The sequence below is a fragment of the Homo sapiens genome, chromosome 2 (genome assembly GCF_000001405.40).
Source record: "Homo sapiens chromosome 2, GRCh38.p14 Primary Assembly".
NCBI classification, from domain to species: Eukaryota; Metazoa; Chordata; class Mammalia; order Primates; family Hominidae; genus Homo; species Homo sapiens.
Window position 1 is genome coordinate 208,637,395 of NC_000002.12, and position 19,024 is coordinate 208,656,418.

At 36.6% G+C, this 19,024-nt stretch overlaps 1 long non-coding RNA gene across 1 annotated transcript in view; it reads left to right on the plus strand.

Annotated features, from left to right (window-relative positions):
• The window catches only part of LOC101927960 (uncharacterized), a 282,946-nt gene that overhangs the window by 94,753 nt on the left and 169,169 nt on the right, over positions 1-19,024 (plus strand). The gene's annotated exons all lie outside the window — the stretch shown is intronic.

Genomic DNA, 19,024 nt, shown 5'->3' on the forward strand with positions numbered 1-19,024 from the left:
TATATGTGTATATCTGTGTGCATACATATATATGTGTATATCTGTGTGCATACATATATATGTGTATATCTGTGTGCATACATATATATGTGTATATATGTGTGCATACATATATATGTGTATATATGTGTGCATACATATATATGAACAAGACTCCATCTGAAAAACAAAACAAAACAAAAAGTGGTTGTTTCTGGGCTTTCATGACCTGTAAAACTAAAAATCTAGTTGTCATCAGGATGTTGATCTCACATACAGTGAAAACTCACTCTGAAATATACTAGATCTAGTGTTGTTTAGAGACATAAGTATCATTTAGAACACTTCCTGTTGCAAGATACTGAAAACTCAAATTAGCTTTCGATTGAACTTACTGTCTCATGTAATTCAACAGTCCTGGGGGAGATAGGACTTTAGCCAAGTATTTATTCAGTTTTTTTTTTAATTTATTTTAATTTTATTTATTTTTTTTTTTTGAGAAGGAGTCTCGCTCTGTCACCCAGGCTAGAGTGCAGTGGTGCGATCTCGGCTCACTGCAACCTTTGCCTCCTGCATTCAAGCGATTCTCCTGCCTCAGCCTCCTGAGTAGCTGGGATTACAGGCACCTGCCACCATGCTTGGCTAATTTTTGTATTTTTAGTAAAGATGGGGTTTCACCATCTTGGCCAGGCTGGCCTTGAACTCCTGACCTCATGATCTGCCTGCCTCAGCCTCCCAAAGTGCTGGGATTATAGGTGTTAGCCACCATGCCAGGCCAATTCAGTATTTGAACAATGTAATCAGTTCCAGTTTTTTTCCTCTCTCTATTTCCTGACTTTGTTCAGGCAGAGTCCAGATGTTCTTAGAAGCTGACACCAAGATAAGATTAAACATGCAAGGAGAGGTGAAAAGTGAAAAGTGCCTGTGTGAAAGCAAATAGTGAGTCAGCTGGGAGTGTCCAAAAAGCCATTAAACCCCAGTACTGCAAACAGAGTGGGGGTGAGTAAAGGTGTCCTAGCAGCTGTGCAAGTGAAAGAAGGCTCAACTAAGTTTTTTGGAAGTTTTTAAACTAAAGTTAACTAACAAAAGAGTTTTATATCTCTTAGGAACTCAGTCATTGATGGGAAGCTGTCCTTGGGAGGCAAGATGTTGGCCTCCCAAGATGTTGCCACAAATGAATCTCAAAGTGAACACCTGAGGCTGTCTCTCAGGTGTGTTCCTGAGAATGCAAGAGCATTCTCATGGCTAACCTAGGCAGATTCTTTTGTGGCACACCAAGATGATTGACAATAGAGATTGGAACTGGGTACATTGTCATTAATATTTATTGGGAAATAAAAAGAAAGTCTACTTCCTCAAATGTTCAAGATTTAGATTTGGATCTCATTAACCATATTAAATACCTGTTAATGTACCTAATATTGACCTACTCACTGTGGCGGGGGTTTCAATAAAATTACTGGCTTAAGGTCAAGAGGGCGTCCCCTAGAACTGAAAGTCTTTCCTTTTACCTGTTAAGTTGCTTTTGACTGCATGTGAGAGAGACTTCAACGCAAATTAGCTTTAACAATAAAGATGTTTATCTTATATAATAGAAAGTCAGGTATGGGTGGATTTCAGACATGATTCAAATAAAATATTGGATCCATATCTCTGACATTCTGCCGATGTTACGTTTATTATTAGGCTAACTTCCCGTGAAATTTCAAGATGACTAATAGCAACAACTGAGGCAAAAATGCTCCGCTTGTTCAAACCAAGCATTAGAAACAGAAAACTTCTCCACTAATTGTGGAAGGAAAGATGTTCCTTTCAGCCTGTTTGGTTTGTGCTGCTATAATGTAATACCACAGACTGGGTAATTTATAATGAACAGAAATTTATTAGCTCACAGTTCTGGAGGCTGGGCAGTCCAAGATTAAGAGGCTGGCATTAGGTGAGGGCCTTCTTGCTGCATCATAATACGAGGCAGGCATCACATAGTGGCAGGGCATAAAGAGAGAGAGCAAGAGGGGGCAAACCCACTCCCATGATAACAAACTCACTTTCATAATAAAAATCCAATTTCATGATGATGGCATTAGTCTATGAATGAGATAGAGCCCTCATGATCTAAACACCTCTTAAAGGTCCTGATATGGACCAGGAGGAAGGTAAATACTGGGTAGAAGAAGGTGGTTCCCTGGCAAAGGCCCCACCCTCAAGCCTGGAAACCCGTGGCCCTAAATGGGAACAGGTATTCCTGTTTTCGCACCAAAATGTTGCCTTTTCCAAGACCTCCCTGGCCCACTACACCCCTATCATGTGACCATATAAACCCCAAGCTCCACTGGCAGAGTGGCAGAGCAGCACAGCACAGAAGGAGAGAAGAGAAGGAGCATCTGAAGGTCGAGGGGAGATCAGCCACAGGGTGGTCAAACTCCAGGGGAAGATCATCTTCCCACTCCAGCTCCCCATCCACCGCCTCCTGAGAGCCACCTCTATCACTCAATAAAATCCCTGTATTCACCATTCTTCAAGTCTGTGTGACCTATTCTTCCTGGATGCTGGTCAAGGACCTGGGTACCAAGAGGGCAGGATGTAAAAGGCTGTCACCCTGACTCTTCACTGAGCTGGGTAACAGTTAGCTGTCTGAAGAAGGCAAAGCTAAAAGAGCATTGTAACATCTCTAGACACTGCCGTGCGGCTGGAGCCCAAAAGCACTTGCCCCGGCTCACCTACGTGCTCCCTCTTCCATAAGGGGTTTAAGTATGCAGTGACTGAGTAATCAAGCCACCCCCTTCATGAGGAGTGCTGTGAAAGGGTCAAAGGAGTTCTTCCATCTCAGTCTTACATCCCAATACTGTTAAAATAGCAATTAAATTTCAACATGAGTTATGGAGGAAGCAAACATTCAAACCTTAGCACCCCTAAGTGGGGGCATATGCTCACTTACATAACTATTCCTGAACAAACAAGAGCCAGCAGAGGAATGACATGTTCTGTTTGGCTTATACCTGGCTTCTAAAGCAACCACTGAGGAAAGAGATGGGATAACTATGCCTGGGTTAGAATAATCAGTTTACAACCTTGAGCTGATGATGAGATCAGCTTCATGGGCCATGTGAGTATTAATTTTATGTGTAAACTTGACTAGGCTATGGTACCCAGTTGTTTGGTCAAGCACCAGTTAAGGTTTGCTGCAAAGACAGTTTTTAGATGTGATTCACATTTAGAGCCAATAGAGTTTGTGTAAAGCAGATGACCCTCCACAATGCAGATGGGCCTTAGCCAATCAGTTGCAGGCCTTAGAGCAAAGACTGCAGTTTCCTCAATGTGATGGTTAATTGTAGATGTCACGTTAATTGGATTAAGGAATACCTGGAGAACTGGTAAAGCATTATTTTGGGGTCTGGATGTGGAGGTGTTTCCAGAGGAGATTGGCATGTGAAGTTGAGTAGATTAAGTGGGGGAAGATCTACCCTCAATGAATGCAGGCACCATCCAATTGGCTGAAGGCTCAAATGGAACATAAAAGCAGAGAGAAAATTCTTTTCTGGTACAGATTTGTCTTCTGTCCCTGGACATAAGAACATAGACTCTCTGGCCTTGAAACTTCAGGGTTTACACCAGCACCCATCCCTCCTGTGTTTGGTTCTCAGGCTTTTGGCTTTAGGCTGACAATTGTGCCATTGGCTTCCCTGATTCTGAGGGTTACTGAGGCTTGTGTACTTGGGCTGAGCCATGCTACAATCATGCCAGGGTCTCCAGCTTGCTGATGACCTGTTGTGAGACTTCTCAGCTCCATAATCATGTGAGACAATTCCCCTAATAAATTCTTATGTATCTGTATCTGTTATCTATCATCTATCTATCTGTCTGTCTGTCTGTCTGTCTATCTATCATCTATTTATCTAAGCTATCTATTATCTATCTCTATCTATCATCTATTTATCTATCATCAATCATCTGTTCATCCCACTGGTTCCCTCTCTTTGGAGAACCCTAACGAATATACCTAAGAAGAAACAATTCTACCTCAAAACTACAACATAAAATATTGCCTGGGCTTCCATCTTGCTGGCTTGCCTTGCAGATTTCCGACTCAATACTGCATCAACTCTTACCTGAATTTCCAGCTTGCCAATTTGCCCTACATATTTCAGACTGGCCAGCCCCCACAATCACATGAGCAAATTCCTGAAAATTAATCTCTCTCTCTCTCTCTCTCTCTCTGAAGATATCTCCTATTGGTTCTGTTCCCCTAGAGAACCCTCACTAATACAGGCCACATGGAGGATGATTGAATTCTTCAACAGATTTTGAGTCCTATGAGTAGAAAGGAAGAAATGAATGCAAGGTCATCAATGGTAGCACTCATTACACTATTGTAATACCACAGTCAGCCAATTAATTCAGAGAGGAAGGTAGAACAGCTGATGGGAAGGATGACAACAAATAGCCCTACAACAATTTAGATTTTTCACTGTCCGTTTCTGGTTGATAATATGCTTAAACATTTACCTTAGTAAATTCTGGTAACTTAAGACTTGCTGATCTTAAAAAAGACCATATAGATTTCAATATCAAAACAATTAAAAATGGATACACTAATTTATCTATTTTTTTTGAGTCCTAGGGCATGCAAATACACAGTCTTAGTGTTTTGACACATTTGACACATGATTCAAAGACTAATTTGACACATTGATCATTTGTGAAAGAAAAGAGAAATGTAACTAGGATTTAAACAAATTAAATAAACTACAAACGTATTAAGCTGTGTATGTTCTTTAAAATTGTGTATTATTGCCATTATTATTTGATTTTATGATGACTAAATCATTTTCTCTCAATTAATCATCATTTTAGGCTTAGATCCTTTATGGAGCCAGCACACACACGTCAGGCAAAAGGCATATACTTCACACCTTGAAGAGAAGACAGGGCCTTATCTACTTATACTTTTCATCTAGTCCTCAACTTGCTGCTTCTTCCCCTTGACCTTGGTGATTCCTAAGACAGGTCAGTGGTACAGAATTTGACAGTGTCTTATGTAATGAAGTGAATTTTTCAGGATGAATCCTAAGTAATCACCAGCTCATCTGTGTCCAGTCACACCTATTTTCCTAAAAAATTTCATTTCCTCCTGCTGAATGCACAGTCATTGCTCCAGTGTTTATTCCCTGATCTCAAAAAGGAGATTTCCATTAGATTTCAGCAGTTGCTTCATATTGCACCATACTGACTGGCAATAGTCTCTATGGCTAGAAGACAAAATAACCCAGAATCTGGTTTCTCAGATCAGACCAGGTTTCAGTTCAAATGCTCACTGTCCTCCTGGAGAACGCCTTAGGCTAACTTCCTTCTTTTTATTTTCCTGATTAACCCATCTTGTTTCTGGCAAAAAATAACAGAGCTAGTATAAGTGAGATTTTGTAAGTGGATATTAAATCTTGAGGTTATTGTATTACGAGAGTATTTCCTGAGCTGTGAAATAATTTACTAATGAATACAAAGTAGAAATGCATTGCATGAAATCCTATCAATATGGTATGAAGTATTATCAGGGTTCAGGGAACCAAGAATTTCTGCTTTAAGCTACTTTTTAAAATTTTATCAGACAGTGATGACAGCACAGGAAAAACCAACTAAATCAGTTAGTTTTTAGTTTTTAAGTATCCTATCAAGCAAATATAGTCAGCTATAAATTTCAAGAACAATAATTTTAAATGAAGAAAAGAAATTAACCTAACATTTATTAGGCACTTACTATGTGCCAGACACTGTGCTAAATGATTTTATTTCTCTCAATATCCTTATTTTACCAATGTGGAAACAGAGGCTCAAAAAAGTGAAGCAGCCTGCCCAGTTTCAAACCAGGGTCAATCTTCTAAGCCTGTGATTTTCCCCCTACAACCTGCTGAGCTAAATTTTCCAACACCTTTGCCACAGTAAAATGTGTTTCACGGTGAATCCCCAGGTTAATAGGGTAATCATTTTCAGAGAGGACAGGACAAGTTATCTAGTTATTGAATACCTAGTTTTTACTAGGTGCTGTGCTGGATAGCACATACAGTTTCATATTCAGCATCTCACAATTCCCATTTTTCTAGATGAGGAAGCTAGAGTTTGAGAAGATAGGTAATAAGCCCAAGATCACATGGCTGAGTGGAGGAGCAAGACATTCAAGCCAGGTACCTGTGCCCCATTTCTCTACACCATGCAAAAGCTTAATCACTTTGGGTTAAAGTGTATAGGACTACAATATGCCATGGCTATTAGGACTGAGTTATTAGAACCTTGCATATCATTTTGCAAAACAGTAAAGCACCTAGGTGCAATTAATGACAAGAACATGGGACAGACATATATAAATTCATAGACTGAGAAACTTATTGGGTCCTTCTTTCCCCACTTGTAAATAGACTGGGAGAGTGGGTTTGGGAAAAGTGGTTTAGAAAATGCTCCACATCCTTGTGTTCATAAAGCCAAGATAGTTAAGTATTAATCCTGCTGAATAATCTATTTTTCTCCCTGCATATTCCTTGCCCTCTCTTATATGATGTCAATGTCAGGGCATTTTCAGTGTGAAATAACAATTATAAAATAACTAGAATCTTCCTTACACTGTATTAAGCTATCTGGCCTTGTTTAGCATTACTGTGTAAATGACACATTAATAAGAATGTCTTAGGTATATTTCAATTGTTACTCATTTTTTAGCAAGGTCTGAAAGTTGTGTTAATATCTTTCTATATTAATAACTCTCATTAAGATGGGTAGTTTTAATGATGCTAACAATTTCCTTTCAGTTTATTTCAGTTCAACAAATATTTATTGGACATCTATTGTATCTCAGGTACTGGGCTAATGGACTAAAGGCTGGAGATGTCTAGATGAGCAGAGCAGTGCTTGTTCACCTGCTCTTCAGGTGGTGGGTGGATAAACAGATGGCTCCCACTTGCTAGGATAAGAGGTAAGATGGAGGAGGGCACAGAGAGATAGGAATGTATATGTGCCAGACTTCTCTGGAGCAGATGACACAGATTTCCAATTTATGGATTTGCTCATGGCTCAGCCTCTCTGTGGCCATTACCTCTTAGCAAAAGAGGACACATGTATGATAGACTGTACTTCCTTGCACACATTATTTCCATGTTTATGTCTTTCCTGGGTAACTTGGTGTATTAGTCTGTTTTCACGCTGCTGACAAAGACATACCCAAGACTGAGAAGAAGAGGTTTTAATGGACTTACAGTTCCACGTGGCTGGGGAGGCCTCACAATCATGGCAGAAGGTAAAAGCATCTCACATGGTGGCAGACAAGAGGAGAGAGCTTGTGCAGGGAAACTCCCATTTTTAAAACCATCAGATCTCATGAGATTTACTCATCATCATAAAAATAGCATGAGAAACACTGGCACCCATGATTCAATGACCTCCCAATGACCTCCAATTGGCCTGGTATCAGAATTGTACATGATCACTTTCGCCATATTCTATTAACCAAAACAAGTCACAAGGCCAGGGCTAATTCAACAAGTGGGGAAATGGACTGTATTTGTTGATGGGAGGAGTTGGAAAGTTACAAAGCAAGGACATATAAATATAGTGAGAAGAATAGTTGCAGTCATATTGGCAAATAATCTATTACACATTATCAAAAGGGCAAGTACTTTTACTTTTGACAAAGAAATCCTAAGTCTAGGCATCTAACCCACAGAAGACATATGAAAAAAATTATATGTATAAAAGTATTCATTGGAACACTATTTATTGCCTTCTAGCAAAAGAGGAAGCCGCCCAGTAGTCCATTAACAGTGAATTGATTCCATAAACTATGCTGCATCCACACAATGGCATACTGAATAGGGGTATATCTGAAACAGAAGTGCCCAGGAGATGAATATTGTTGAAGCTATTCATTATGTTTTTCTCTCTACTTTCATATATGTATGAAGTTTTTCATAATGAAAGGAAAAGTAAAAGAACCTAATTTATTTTTTTCCATGACCAAATAGAAACAAAACTAGAAAATGAAATGAAATAGAAAATGAAGCCCACTACTTAGTTTGTGTCAGAGAGTAATGCCATGTCTCCGAGAGGTAAGAGGTAAGCTATTTACATCTCCAGCACTGTAAACAATTTAGCAGCATTCAAAAAATACTCATCAAAATTCTAGTTTTCTTGGCTAAGGGAAAGTTCTTTTAGTCAGCAAGGCTGAAAGCACCTCCCTAGGGGTACAAATGTTATAGGGAAGAAATAATTGCATGTTCAGAGTAAATACTCTCCAACTTTCTACAGCCTGCATCTTGTTAAATAAACTACTTGAATGACGTTTTAGAAACAGAAGCTGATCTAAAAAATATAGTTCTCCTTTTGACATTTTTTTCTTTGCCTTTGCAATATTAGCACTTTGTTCAAAAAATAAACTATTTAAGAACCCAAGTACCCAAAAGTTCAGGTTTTATTCTGAACATGTTAGTAAATTGCCCATAGATTTTCCCAAAATAAACCTGATTGTCATACCTTAAGTTTCATAAAGAGCTGCTGTCATCCAACTATTTGAAAAATAGTTCCAACCACAGAAGTTGCTGGAAAACATCAAAGGTGCCATTTATTTAAGGGGAAAAACATTTCCTCTTTGAGTTCTTCTGTGTTTGGGTTGAGGAGCGGAACTCTGCTGTCATCCTACATTTGGAATGGGAATTTATTCTGAGGACTGGGTAAGGGCCTGTAGATGTGTTAGACCAATCAATAGCGTTTGCCAAATTATCCTTCTGGACCCGAAATGCTGAAAATTATCATTTCTGGGGAGTCTCTAATCATAGTCTACATTATTTAACTTGTTTTTGTAGTTATGAAGGAGTACAATGAGCAGACAGCAAGAAGGCTCATATTAAGGTGACATGGAGCTTTCTTAACCATTTGCAACTGATTTCTTGACTTACTATGCTATTGAAACTTTTAATGATTATCAGACTGTATAGCTTCTTCTCAGTGTTTCTTTTCAGCTGAGTTGTCATTTAAATATTACTTTTTAAATCAATTTGTCATTATTAGATCACCAGGAACTTCCTTTATTTGTTTATAAACTCCCTCTACTCCCATTGCTCATCCCACACCCTCTATGGATGTCTCAGGCATGTCTATGGCTTAGCCTTTACCTCCATGGAGGGGATATCTACATCCATAGGACCAGTAGTTCTTATCTGGAGCCTCCCAAGAGTGAATCTCTCTGCTGAAATGAGTCTTTTTGTAATCTTGTGGGGTACTCACCCAATTTTTTGGTTAGTAAAATGAAAGTTAGGTAAGAACACAGCATGAAGTAACAATTTCCCTCTTCTCCTGCATATCACAGAAAGGAAATAAGACTTAGAAAAAGAAAGCCACATTAGCTTTCTTTGCAGAAAGCAAGAGCTGCAAGATTGGAGGAAGACAGGGTGGAGAAGTGCAATAACTGGGCAGAAAGGAGTTACCCAAAGAATATCCACTGCTTTCGATTCCATTCTTTCTCAGACATAAATTGCAGGCCTAGCAAGTCCTAATAAGAACTAAAATAAAATAGTGGTGTAGCTTCTGACTGGTGGGTGTCCCCTGTTTTTTTCTTGAGTACAGCTCCTAGAAAATAACAAGTTTCTCTCTAAATTTGAAGTCTATGCTCATATTTGGTCCAAGAGAAACTCCTTTGCTTAATGATTTAAACAAACAATCATAAGGATTCTATATCCACTTTCTCCTTCACAAGCTTGCCTGTGTGACTGAGGCATCTTTCTTGATTATGGTGAATTCTTTAACACACAGATGACCAATTAGCAACTCTCATATTTAGATAAAAATGACTTACATAGTTAAGAATTTTCAATTAGAATTTTAAATTGGGATATGCATTCTTCAGTTAGCCACAAGTAATATTTCTCCCTATTAATTTCACACATTTCACCTATTGATTTCACGATTTCTATTGCCTTTCTAATCCCTGAAGGCATTTGAACTGTTTGACTTAGGTTAAGTAAAACAGTCTTCAGAAAAGGACAGAACAGAATGTAACTGTTATCTGTTGTTTTATCTTATTCTAACTTATCAGCCTTGCTCCTTCATCTAAGCTAGGGAGCACATTTTAGCTACTCTTGATTATATGTAATTTGAATACTTATATTCCATTTTATTTCAACATTTATTTGGTGTAATCCTTCTTCTCTCAAAGATACAGTAAACTCAAACAAAGATTTTACACCACCATTTTCTTTCTTTCTTTGTCTTTGATCATCAAAAACACAAGATTAAATTTCTTTTCCCCAGGATGCCTTGAGAATGTTTCAAGATAAAACATTATTGTTAGAAAATTTATTATTTATTTTTCTCTGAAATAGCTTCAATGCTTATCAAATAAGTTCAAGTCATAAAATAGTTCCTGATGTTTATCAGTTGTTAGAACACAATTTGCCACACTCTTATGGTGTTAGTGGCCTTTTTGACCTGAGGCCACTCTTTATTTTGAACATTTTATTTCCTGGAGAGACTGTGGATGAAAAACAGTTTCGTTATTTTAGAACCCAAAACATCCTGGTTTCTATCTATTTCCTATAAATTCCGATTGAAAGCAAACTAAATAGTTTTTCTTCTTCTTTTCTTTTTTTAAGTAACTTCTTATACATAGTTGTCATATGTTGTTATTTTCTAGGAGCTGCACTCAAGAAGAAAACAGGGGACACCCACCAGTTAGAAGCTACACCATTTGGCATGTTTGACATTCTGCCTGGGAAATTCCTCAACTAGATCCATAAGTTCATCAGATATATTTTATATTGTCCACACTCTGCAGGTTATAGTTTTTCTAAGCCTTTTGTCATTATGTAACATGGGTCATCTTTTTTTTTTCAGCCTTTTTTTTTTCAGACAAATTCCTCACTGCCTTTAAGCTCTTACTATCAGTCTTCTCAAGAGCTTTCTAACTTCTGACGGCTGGTGGTCACATAGTCAATGCCATGTTGTTTTAATTTTGTGTTATGGCAGTGTCCCACTTCCAGGTGTCAAATTCCATTCTAGTACTCTTTCTCTACTTAATCGCTAGCTTGATAACAAACCATCTCAAACACGGTAGCTTTAAACAACATCTGTTTTACTATAGCTCACTGTTTTGTGGGTAGGAATTTGGGCAGTCTTGCTTGGGTGATTATTCTGTTCCACATGGCATCAACAGTTGTCACATGTTAATATTCAACTGGCAAATGTACTGGCTTGGAGGGTGTGGAAACTTGGCAGGACAGATGAAAGACTGGGCTCAGCTGGGACAGTCAAACCAAAGACCTACATGTGACATCTTCAGCATTGTCGTTTCAAGGCTTACATGGCAGTCCAAGAGCAAGTGTTCCAGAGAACAAAGTGGAGGCTTTGCGGCCTTTTATCATCTATCTGCAAAAGTCACAAAGCATTATTATTATTATTTGCCATTTTAGGTTGGCTGAAGCAGTTGCAAGCCAACCCAGATTCAAAGAGGTGTCAATTAGAGGTATATTACAGAATTTCAACTTCTGTATTAACACTGCTATGGCATACAACAAGATTTTAGAATTTTGCTTAGCCATAAGCACCAAAAATGGACAACAAATCCCATTTAAAGCTTATACTAAATCAAAATCTGTGCTATATAATTCTGTGAGTGGGATCATTTTATTAAGAGGAGGTAGCAATTCTCAGACAATGATTACAGAAAAGTGCTTAGGTTGTTAATCATATATAAATGTAGTGTTATCATTAGCATGAATATTAATTTGATGATACAAAAATAATATTTCTATTATCACCAATGGATAAAACTCTTCAGTATAGACTATATGAACCACCTGCACATATACATAGAGTACTACTTTTTTGATAGTATTGTTTGTGGCATTCATGCATCTAGCAGAAAAACACTTAAAGGATACCCATCACCCATCACCTAGGACATTTGTCATTTGTATCTGTTGGGACCATTCCAATTTGCCTCTTCTGTCTATTTTGGAACACACAATACATTGTTGTTAGCTATACTCACCCTACTCTGCTATCAAACATTAAACTTTTTCCTTCTGTCTAACTCATGTTGGAGTTTATTTACATAGACATGTTGGAGTTTATTTATATAGACATTATAAAGTGTATAGTATCCAAAAATATATAAAACATCTGCTCTTCACATCAATCTACTGACAAAGATAATGAAAATAAAAATCAAGTTTCGAAGGCAGGTGGATCACTTGAGCCCAGGAGTTCAAGACCAGCCTGGGCAACAAAGTGAAACCCCATCTCTATAAAAATTTAAAGAATTTAACTGGGTAGTATCTGTGCCTGTAGTCCCAGCTACTAGGGAGGCTGAGGCAGGAGGATACCATGAGCCCAGGAGTTCAAGGCTGCAGTGAGCTGCGATCCTGTCACTGCGCTCCAGCCTGGGCAACAAAGCATTTATTTTTAAACTTTGCTTAAAAATAAATAAATAAAAAATAAAGTTTCTATTTGCAAGGCATTGAAAAATACATGTCAGAATGAGGGCACTGGATAATATGGATCTCTAATCTTTGAAAACACAAATTGCAGCTGTGATGAAAATACATTCACCAAAAAAAGTCCTGGCATCACATTTGCAGCAACATGAATGGAACTGCAGGTGGTTATGTTAAGTGATATAAGCCAGACATGGAATGACAAATATCACATGTTCTCACTCATATGTGGAAACTAAAAAAAAAAAAAAAAAAAAAAAAGTCTATCTCATGGAGGTAGAGAATAGAATGATAGTTTTGAGGCTGGGAAGGGTGTGTGTGTGGAGAGGGAAGAATGAAGAGAGTCTAGCTGATGGGCGTGAACATACAGTTAGATAAAATGGAAAAAGTTTAACGTTTGATAGCAGAGTAGGGTGATTATAGCTAACAACATTGTGTATTATGTATTTCAAAATAGCTAGAAGAGAGGACTTGGAATGGTCCCAAAAGGTAGAAATGATAAATGTCCTATGTGATGGGTGGTGAATATCCTTAAATACCCTGAGTTGATCACTGCATATTCTATGCATGTAACAAAATATCACATGTATCCCATAAATATGTACACATATTATGTATCAATAAAAATTTAAAAAAGAAGTTCTGACATTAAGACAGAGTAGGGTAAGGGGAGAACAATTTTTTTTTTTTTGAGACTCGCTCTGTCACCCAGGCTGGAGTGCAGGGGCTCCATCTCAACTCACTGCCCTCCTTGGTTCAAGCGATTCTCCTTTCTCAGCCTCCCAGGTAGCTGGGATTACAGGAACCTGCCACCAAGCCCAGCTAATTTTTGTATTTTTTTTTTTAGTACTGACGGGGTTTCACCATGTTGGCCGGGCTGGTCCCAAACTCCTGACCTCAAGTGATCTGCCTGCCTCGGCCTCTCAAAGTGCTGGGATTATAGGCTTGAGCTACTGTGCCCAGCTGAGAGCAATTTTTAAAAGATAAGTATATGAGTTTTCATTCTGTTTCATACTTACTGAGCTATTTTTACCAAAGTATCAAAATGTAACAAAAATCAACTCTCTGATTTCATATCATTTTACAGAATTAAGATAAAATCTAATCTCAATCCAGGGAACAAGATTAATAATTGTAGATTTTGGATTTTTTTTTTTTTTTGCTATAAACAAACAAACTAATTATAACAGGCTTTATCCTTAATAAAGTTAGTTAGGTCCAAGAGAAATAAAAATGTGAGAAAGCAAGAATTTCAGTGGAAGTCAAATTGTTATACAACACTCTACTTCTTTGAATTATTGGCATTTATGTTCTTAGAAGAGTCATCTCCATGATACAGGCGTCAGTGAGAATGTTAAAATATTTTTGAGGCCTAGGGAAAATGTATGCCAATTAATTAACTTGTTTTTATCTGTGATTCTCTCATATGTTAAATTTAATAAGTTAAATAATTACATAAAGCAAGCTTCTCAAAAATAGAAGCCTCCTTTTTAAAGAAGGGAAATAAAAATACAGAACTTAGGTTAAAGTTAACTTAGCATCTAAATAAAGCACAAAAATTTAATCATATAAAACATTAGTATTATTGTACCAAGGATGTGGTGGAAGAGAATATTTTAAAATAGATTTTAATACACTTGGGTGGGACTTCTGCTGTTAATTTGCTGTATGACTCTAGGTAGCTCACATAAACTCTCTGGTTTCCCTCTCCACAAAATGAGGAGTTTTAGCTATTTAAAGTTAAACAACATCTTCATGATATAAATATTTTATTTTTTTATTTTATCACAGGGAAAATTTAAAATCAGGCATCAATATGAATATGCAGAGTGGTTTTATGAGCTGTCTTTTAAAATGGAATAGGGCAAAAATCAAATATATTAGGCTTGTTGATGTTTCTCAGATTTCCTGTCATTTTAACAGACTAACTGGTCACTCATCAAGATGAAAATCACATTAATAGAAAACAATTGTTCCTTACAAAAATGTGTTTGAAAAGCTTTGTATCATTTTAATGGGTCTCAAATTAACCTACCTATTCTGTCAAGGATATGAGATAGCTCCATGACTAATATTTTATTCTTTGTGAATATTTCCTTCCCAAGTTCTACCACAGTTAATATCTAATGTCTAAAATTTTTTCAAACATTGCCTTGCAGTCCTTCTTAAATAATTTCACTGAAAACGTGTGCCTTATTTATCTGTATCAGAATTAAATCACCGTGATTACAAATTCCTTAATAGCAAAGGTCAAAAGAGAAGTTAAAATATTTTCCTTGTATTTTTAAAACTCAGAAGTTAACATATTGTCCTTGTATTATTAAAACTCAAAAGAGAACTTAAAATATTGTCCTTGTATTATTAAAACTCATAGTCCTTCATAAGGACTATGAATATATGAAAATACAAAAATATTCAGTAGGAAAATACAAAAATATTCAGTAGTAGCTACTTTATTCAATAAATCAGTCAGTCCATTGTGAACCAATATTTAGAGTGTCTACCATGGGTGGGGCACTGATCTACATACCTGGGGCACAAGGAGGATTACTGTGCTTGAGGATATTATTTTCTAGTAGAAGGAGACAAGCAATAAATAACTAACAGAATTTATGGGTGTATTACATAGCATGTTAAGATGATTAGAAAAAAGAAAGTGCACAGCAAACAGTGTGTTCGGGAGTGCTGGGGGACAGAATGAGGAAGTCCATTGCAGATTTAAATGGGGTGGTCAAGGAGGGCTTCATTGAGGAGACATCTGAGCAAACATTTCAGAGGTCAGAGAACTAGTCATGAGGGCATCGCAGGGAGATGCATGCCCAGTGGGGAGAGCAGTTCTTGCAATGGCCCTATAGCAGGAGTGCCTAGTTTGTTGGAGGAACAGCAAGAGGGACATTGGGGCTGGAGCAGAGCAAAGCAAGGTGGAGAGTTGTATGAGAAAGGGCCAGAGAGAGAACAGGGAGTGACAGCTTTGCAGTCTACCGTAAAGACCTTGGTGTTTATTCCGAGTGAAATATGGAGCCTTTGAAAAATTTTGAGCAGAGAGTGAATAAGATTCGACTTATATTTGAAAGGGATCACTCTGTTGGTCATATTCATAATAGACTGAATGGGAAGGCACGAGCAGAACCAGGGAGAGCAGTTAGAAGGCAATTGCAATAATTCAGGGACAAAGTGATGGTGGCTTAGACCATTATGGTGGCATAGAAGTGGTGAGAAATAGTCAGATTTTAAACATGCTTTGAAAGTAGAACCAAAGGATGGTTGTGTTTGCTTCCTGGGAAGGGTTGAGCTTATAACAAGCGTCTTGGTTGTGAATTGAATTCTGTTGATATAGTTGAAATTCTGAGTGCTTGAGCCTCCTCACCTTTTCCAATGATGAAGAGAGAATGCCTAGGGTAGCCATCTTAGTTCAGTGTGGGCTCATGTTTGACCCTCATTAAGGATGGGAAGAATTTGTTCCAAATATGTGGGCTTCATTTTGCATCCTGTTGATGGATGTTCTTTATCATAATAAGAAATGTGTATTTCATGAAATCAAAAGTTCCTTTGGTGAAGGAAGTCTGTTATAGTCTTCAAAAACATAATTATCAAAATGGTTTGTTTACTATAACATTTAGAGTCAGTGTAAAAGATCAATGAATGAAGTGGCTTCTAGAGACGGACATGACAGTTGCAAATCTCCGTGCTGCTACGTAACTAGTTTATCTTATTTACTTTATTAACCCTATCTTATAGCATTGTCAGCAATAAAGAAATTTACATATCTGAATAACTTGGAACTTTCTACATAATAGTAAGTACTATAAAAGTATATGTGAATGCTATTATTTCTTTTGTAATGAAATGTCATGTTACAGTCTATGGCTGCCTTTGAATACCTGTCATCATTTCTTTTCTTTTTTTTTCTTTTTTTTGTAGCTGCAGATGGAGACCAGTTCCTCCCATCTTTTTAAAATTATACTCTAAGTTCATTTCTTCTCCAAACTCTTCATTAGACCCTTAGCTAATTCCTTACCTATGAAGACAGTTAATAACCATCGTCTGTTCTCTGCATGTACTATTAATCCAGAAAAACCTGGTTACTCTGTGGCTTCGTCCAGTTGCTCCACAAGAATTACTTCTACGTCAATGGGGGCATAGTCCATGTTATCTAACAGCTTCCATCTACCTATTGATGTTCCAGTTGGAGGTCTCAAAATTATTCAAAACATATTTTAAACTAATTTTAGGGATTTTTGTCATTAGCAATTTGGCACACTAAAGGTTATGAAAGGTTCCTGTTACATAACATCAAAACATGCTTAATAAAAATATTTTTTAAACTGCCATTTTAAATACATTCATGAGCTTGCCAGAAATCTGCTAGATGCTAGATAAAGCCCACACACTTAGAATAGTTTCACTTCTCTCCAAATAGAGGTCAAGAATTCTCCAAACATTGAAGAAATACCCATTTTAATCTTACACAATATCTTCCAGAGAATAGAAGAAGAGGAAATACTCCCTAATATATTTATTAGCCTGCAAAACCTTGATACCAAAACCTGAAAATAAGAATGAGAAAGTAATGCTATAATTCAATATCATCCAAGAATAGAGATTCAAAAACCCTAGAATAAAGAACTGGATTCAGCACTGAATAAAAAAATCACATGACTTCATGAAGTAAAGTTTATTCTAAAAACAAAAAGTAGGCTTGTATAGATTGTATAGATTGTTGTATAGATTTATAGATTGTATAAACCATGCAATTTCCATAGGTACCAATAAGTGGAGTAAACCACATGATCATTTTGCAAGATGTAAAAAGTTTTTGACAAAACTAATATTCATTTATGATGAAAACTCTTAGCAAACTAGAAATAGAAGGAAATTCATTAATATGATGAAAAGAATCTAAAAAAATCAAAATTCAGTGTGTTAATGTAAAACATTGAAAGCTTTTTCTCTGAAATCAGGACAAGACAAGGAAGTCAGCTACCTCGACTTTCCACTTCTGTTCAATCTCGTGCGAGCAATCTTGGCCATACATTAAGATTTTTAAAAAAGAAATAAAAAGTGTAAGAATTAGAAAGGTACAAGCCCATCATTATTTCCAGATAACATGATTTTTGTACATAAAACAAAATACAAAATATTTAACATGATTTTGTACCTAAAACAAAATACAAAAGAATGTGAAAATAGAATATTGGATTCTATAAGACAGTTTTACAAAGCAACTGGGTACAAAATCCACTTATAAAAATTTGTTGCATATGGTATATTTTTATGTACCAGCAACAGAGAGTTAAAAAACACATTTTTAAAAAAGATAACATTAAAAATGGTACCTATGGTATTGCATATTTCAAAAGTGCTGTAAGAACAGACTTGAAATATTCCCACTACAAAAAAATGGTAAATATGAGAGGTGATGAATATGTTAATTACTTGATATAATTTTTCTACAATGTATACAAATATCAAAACATCACATTGTGCTCCATAAATGTATACAGTTATTATTTTCAATTAAACATAATGGTTTAAATAAAAAACAAATCTAAGAGCAGATGTGCAAGGTAACTAATATCCAGAATACACTCAATACAAAATGATAAGAAAAAGACAGGCAACCTATCATAAGAATAAGCAAAGATTTGAGTGAATCTTTCAAGAAAGAGAAAATCCAAATGGCTCATAAACATAAGAGAAGGTTGCTCATTTTACTAATGATTAGAAAAATGTAAATTAAAATCATGTACCAGTTATAGAAAAATTGTAAATTCTGATAATACCGTGTGTTGGTGGGGATGTGCGGCAAAGGTACCTCTCACACAGTGTTGGTATGAATGAACTTGGTACAACCACAACGTGAAAGAGTTTGCTTTCTCCAGAAAAGTTGAAAATGTGTATAATCTATAACCAATTTTAATCCTAGAGAAAGTTCTGTACAAGTGCACCAAGAAAAATATATTGAAGTGTTTATAATAGTCCCAAGCTGAAAACAACCAACTTATCTATCAACTATACACCAGATAAATAATTTGTGGTACATTCATACAATAGAATACTATATGGCAATGGAAATAAAACTACAGCTGCACATTAACATAGATTAATCTCACGAACAAATGTTGGTCAAAGGTAGCAAGTTACAAAGGAAAACGTGTAGTCAGAATTTATAAACAAATTTCAAAATCAGGAAGAATTAAACTGTGTTGTTTAGTGATGAATTTAGTGATGGTAAAACTATCAAGAAAAGCAAAGGAATTAGTAGAAGTTAGGATAGTGGTTACTTGCGTAGGATAGGAAATGGGATGTGACCTAGGAGAGATGTGAAGTTGGGGGTGACTTCTAAGTATTGGTGATGTCCTGTTTCTTAACTTAGGTAAGGATGGCAGGGAATTATGTTAATGATTGTTATTGTGTGAATCTATCGATCCAGCCATCCATTATGTCCTTCCATTCTTGCATCCCTCCATCCCTCCATCCCTCCATCCGTCAGTTCATCTATCCACCAATTCATCCATTTATCCATTTATGTATCTCTTTCTGGATATATTTCACGATTAAGAAAAGTTAAAAAATTA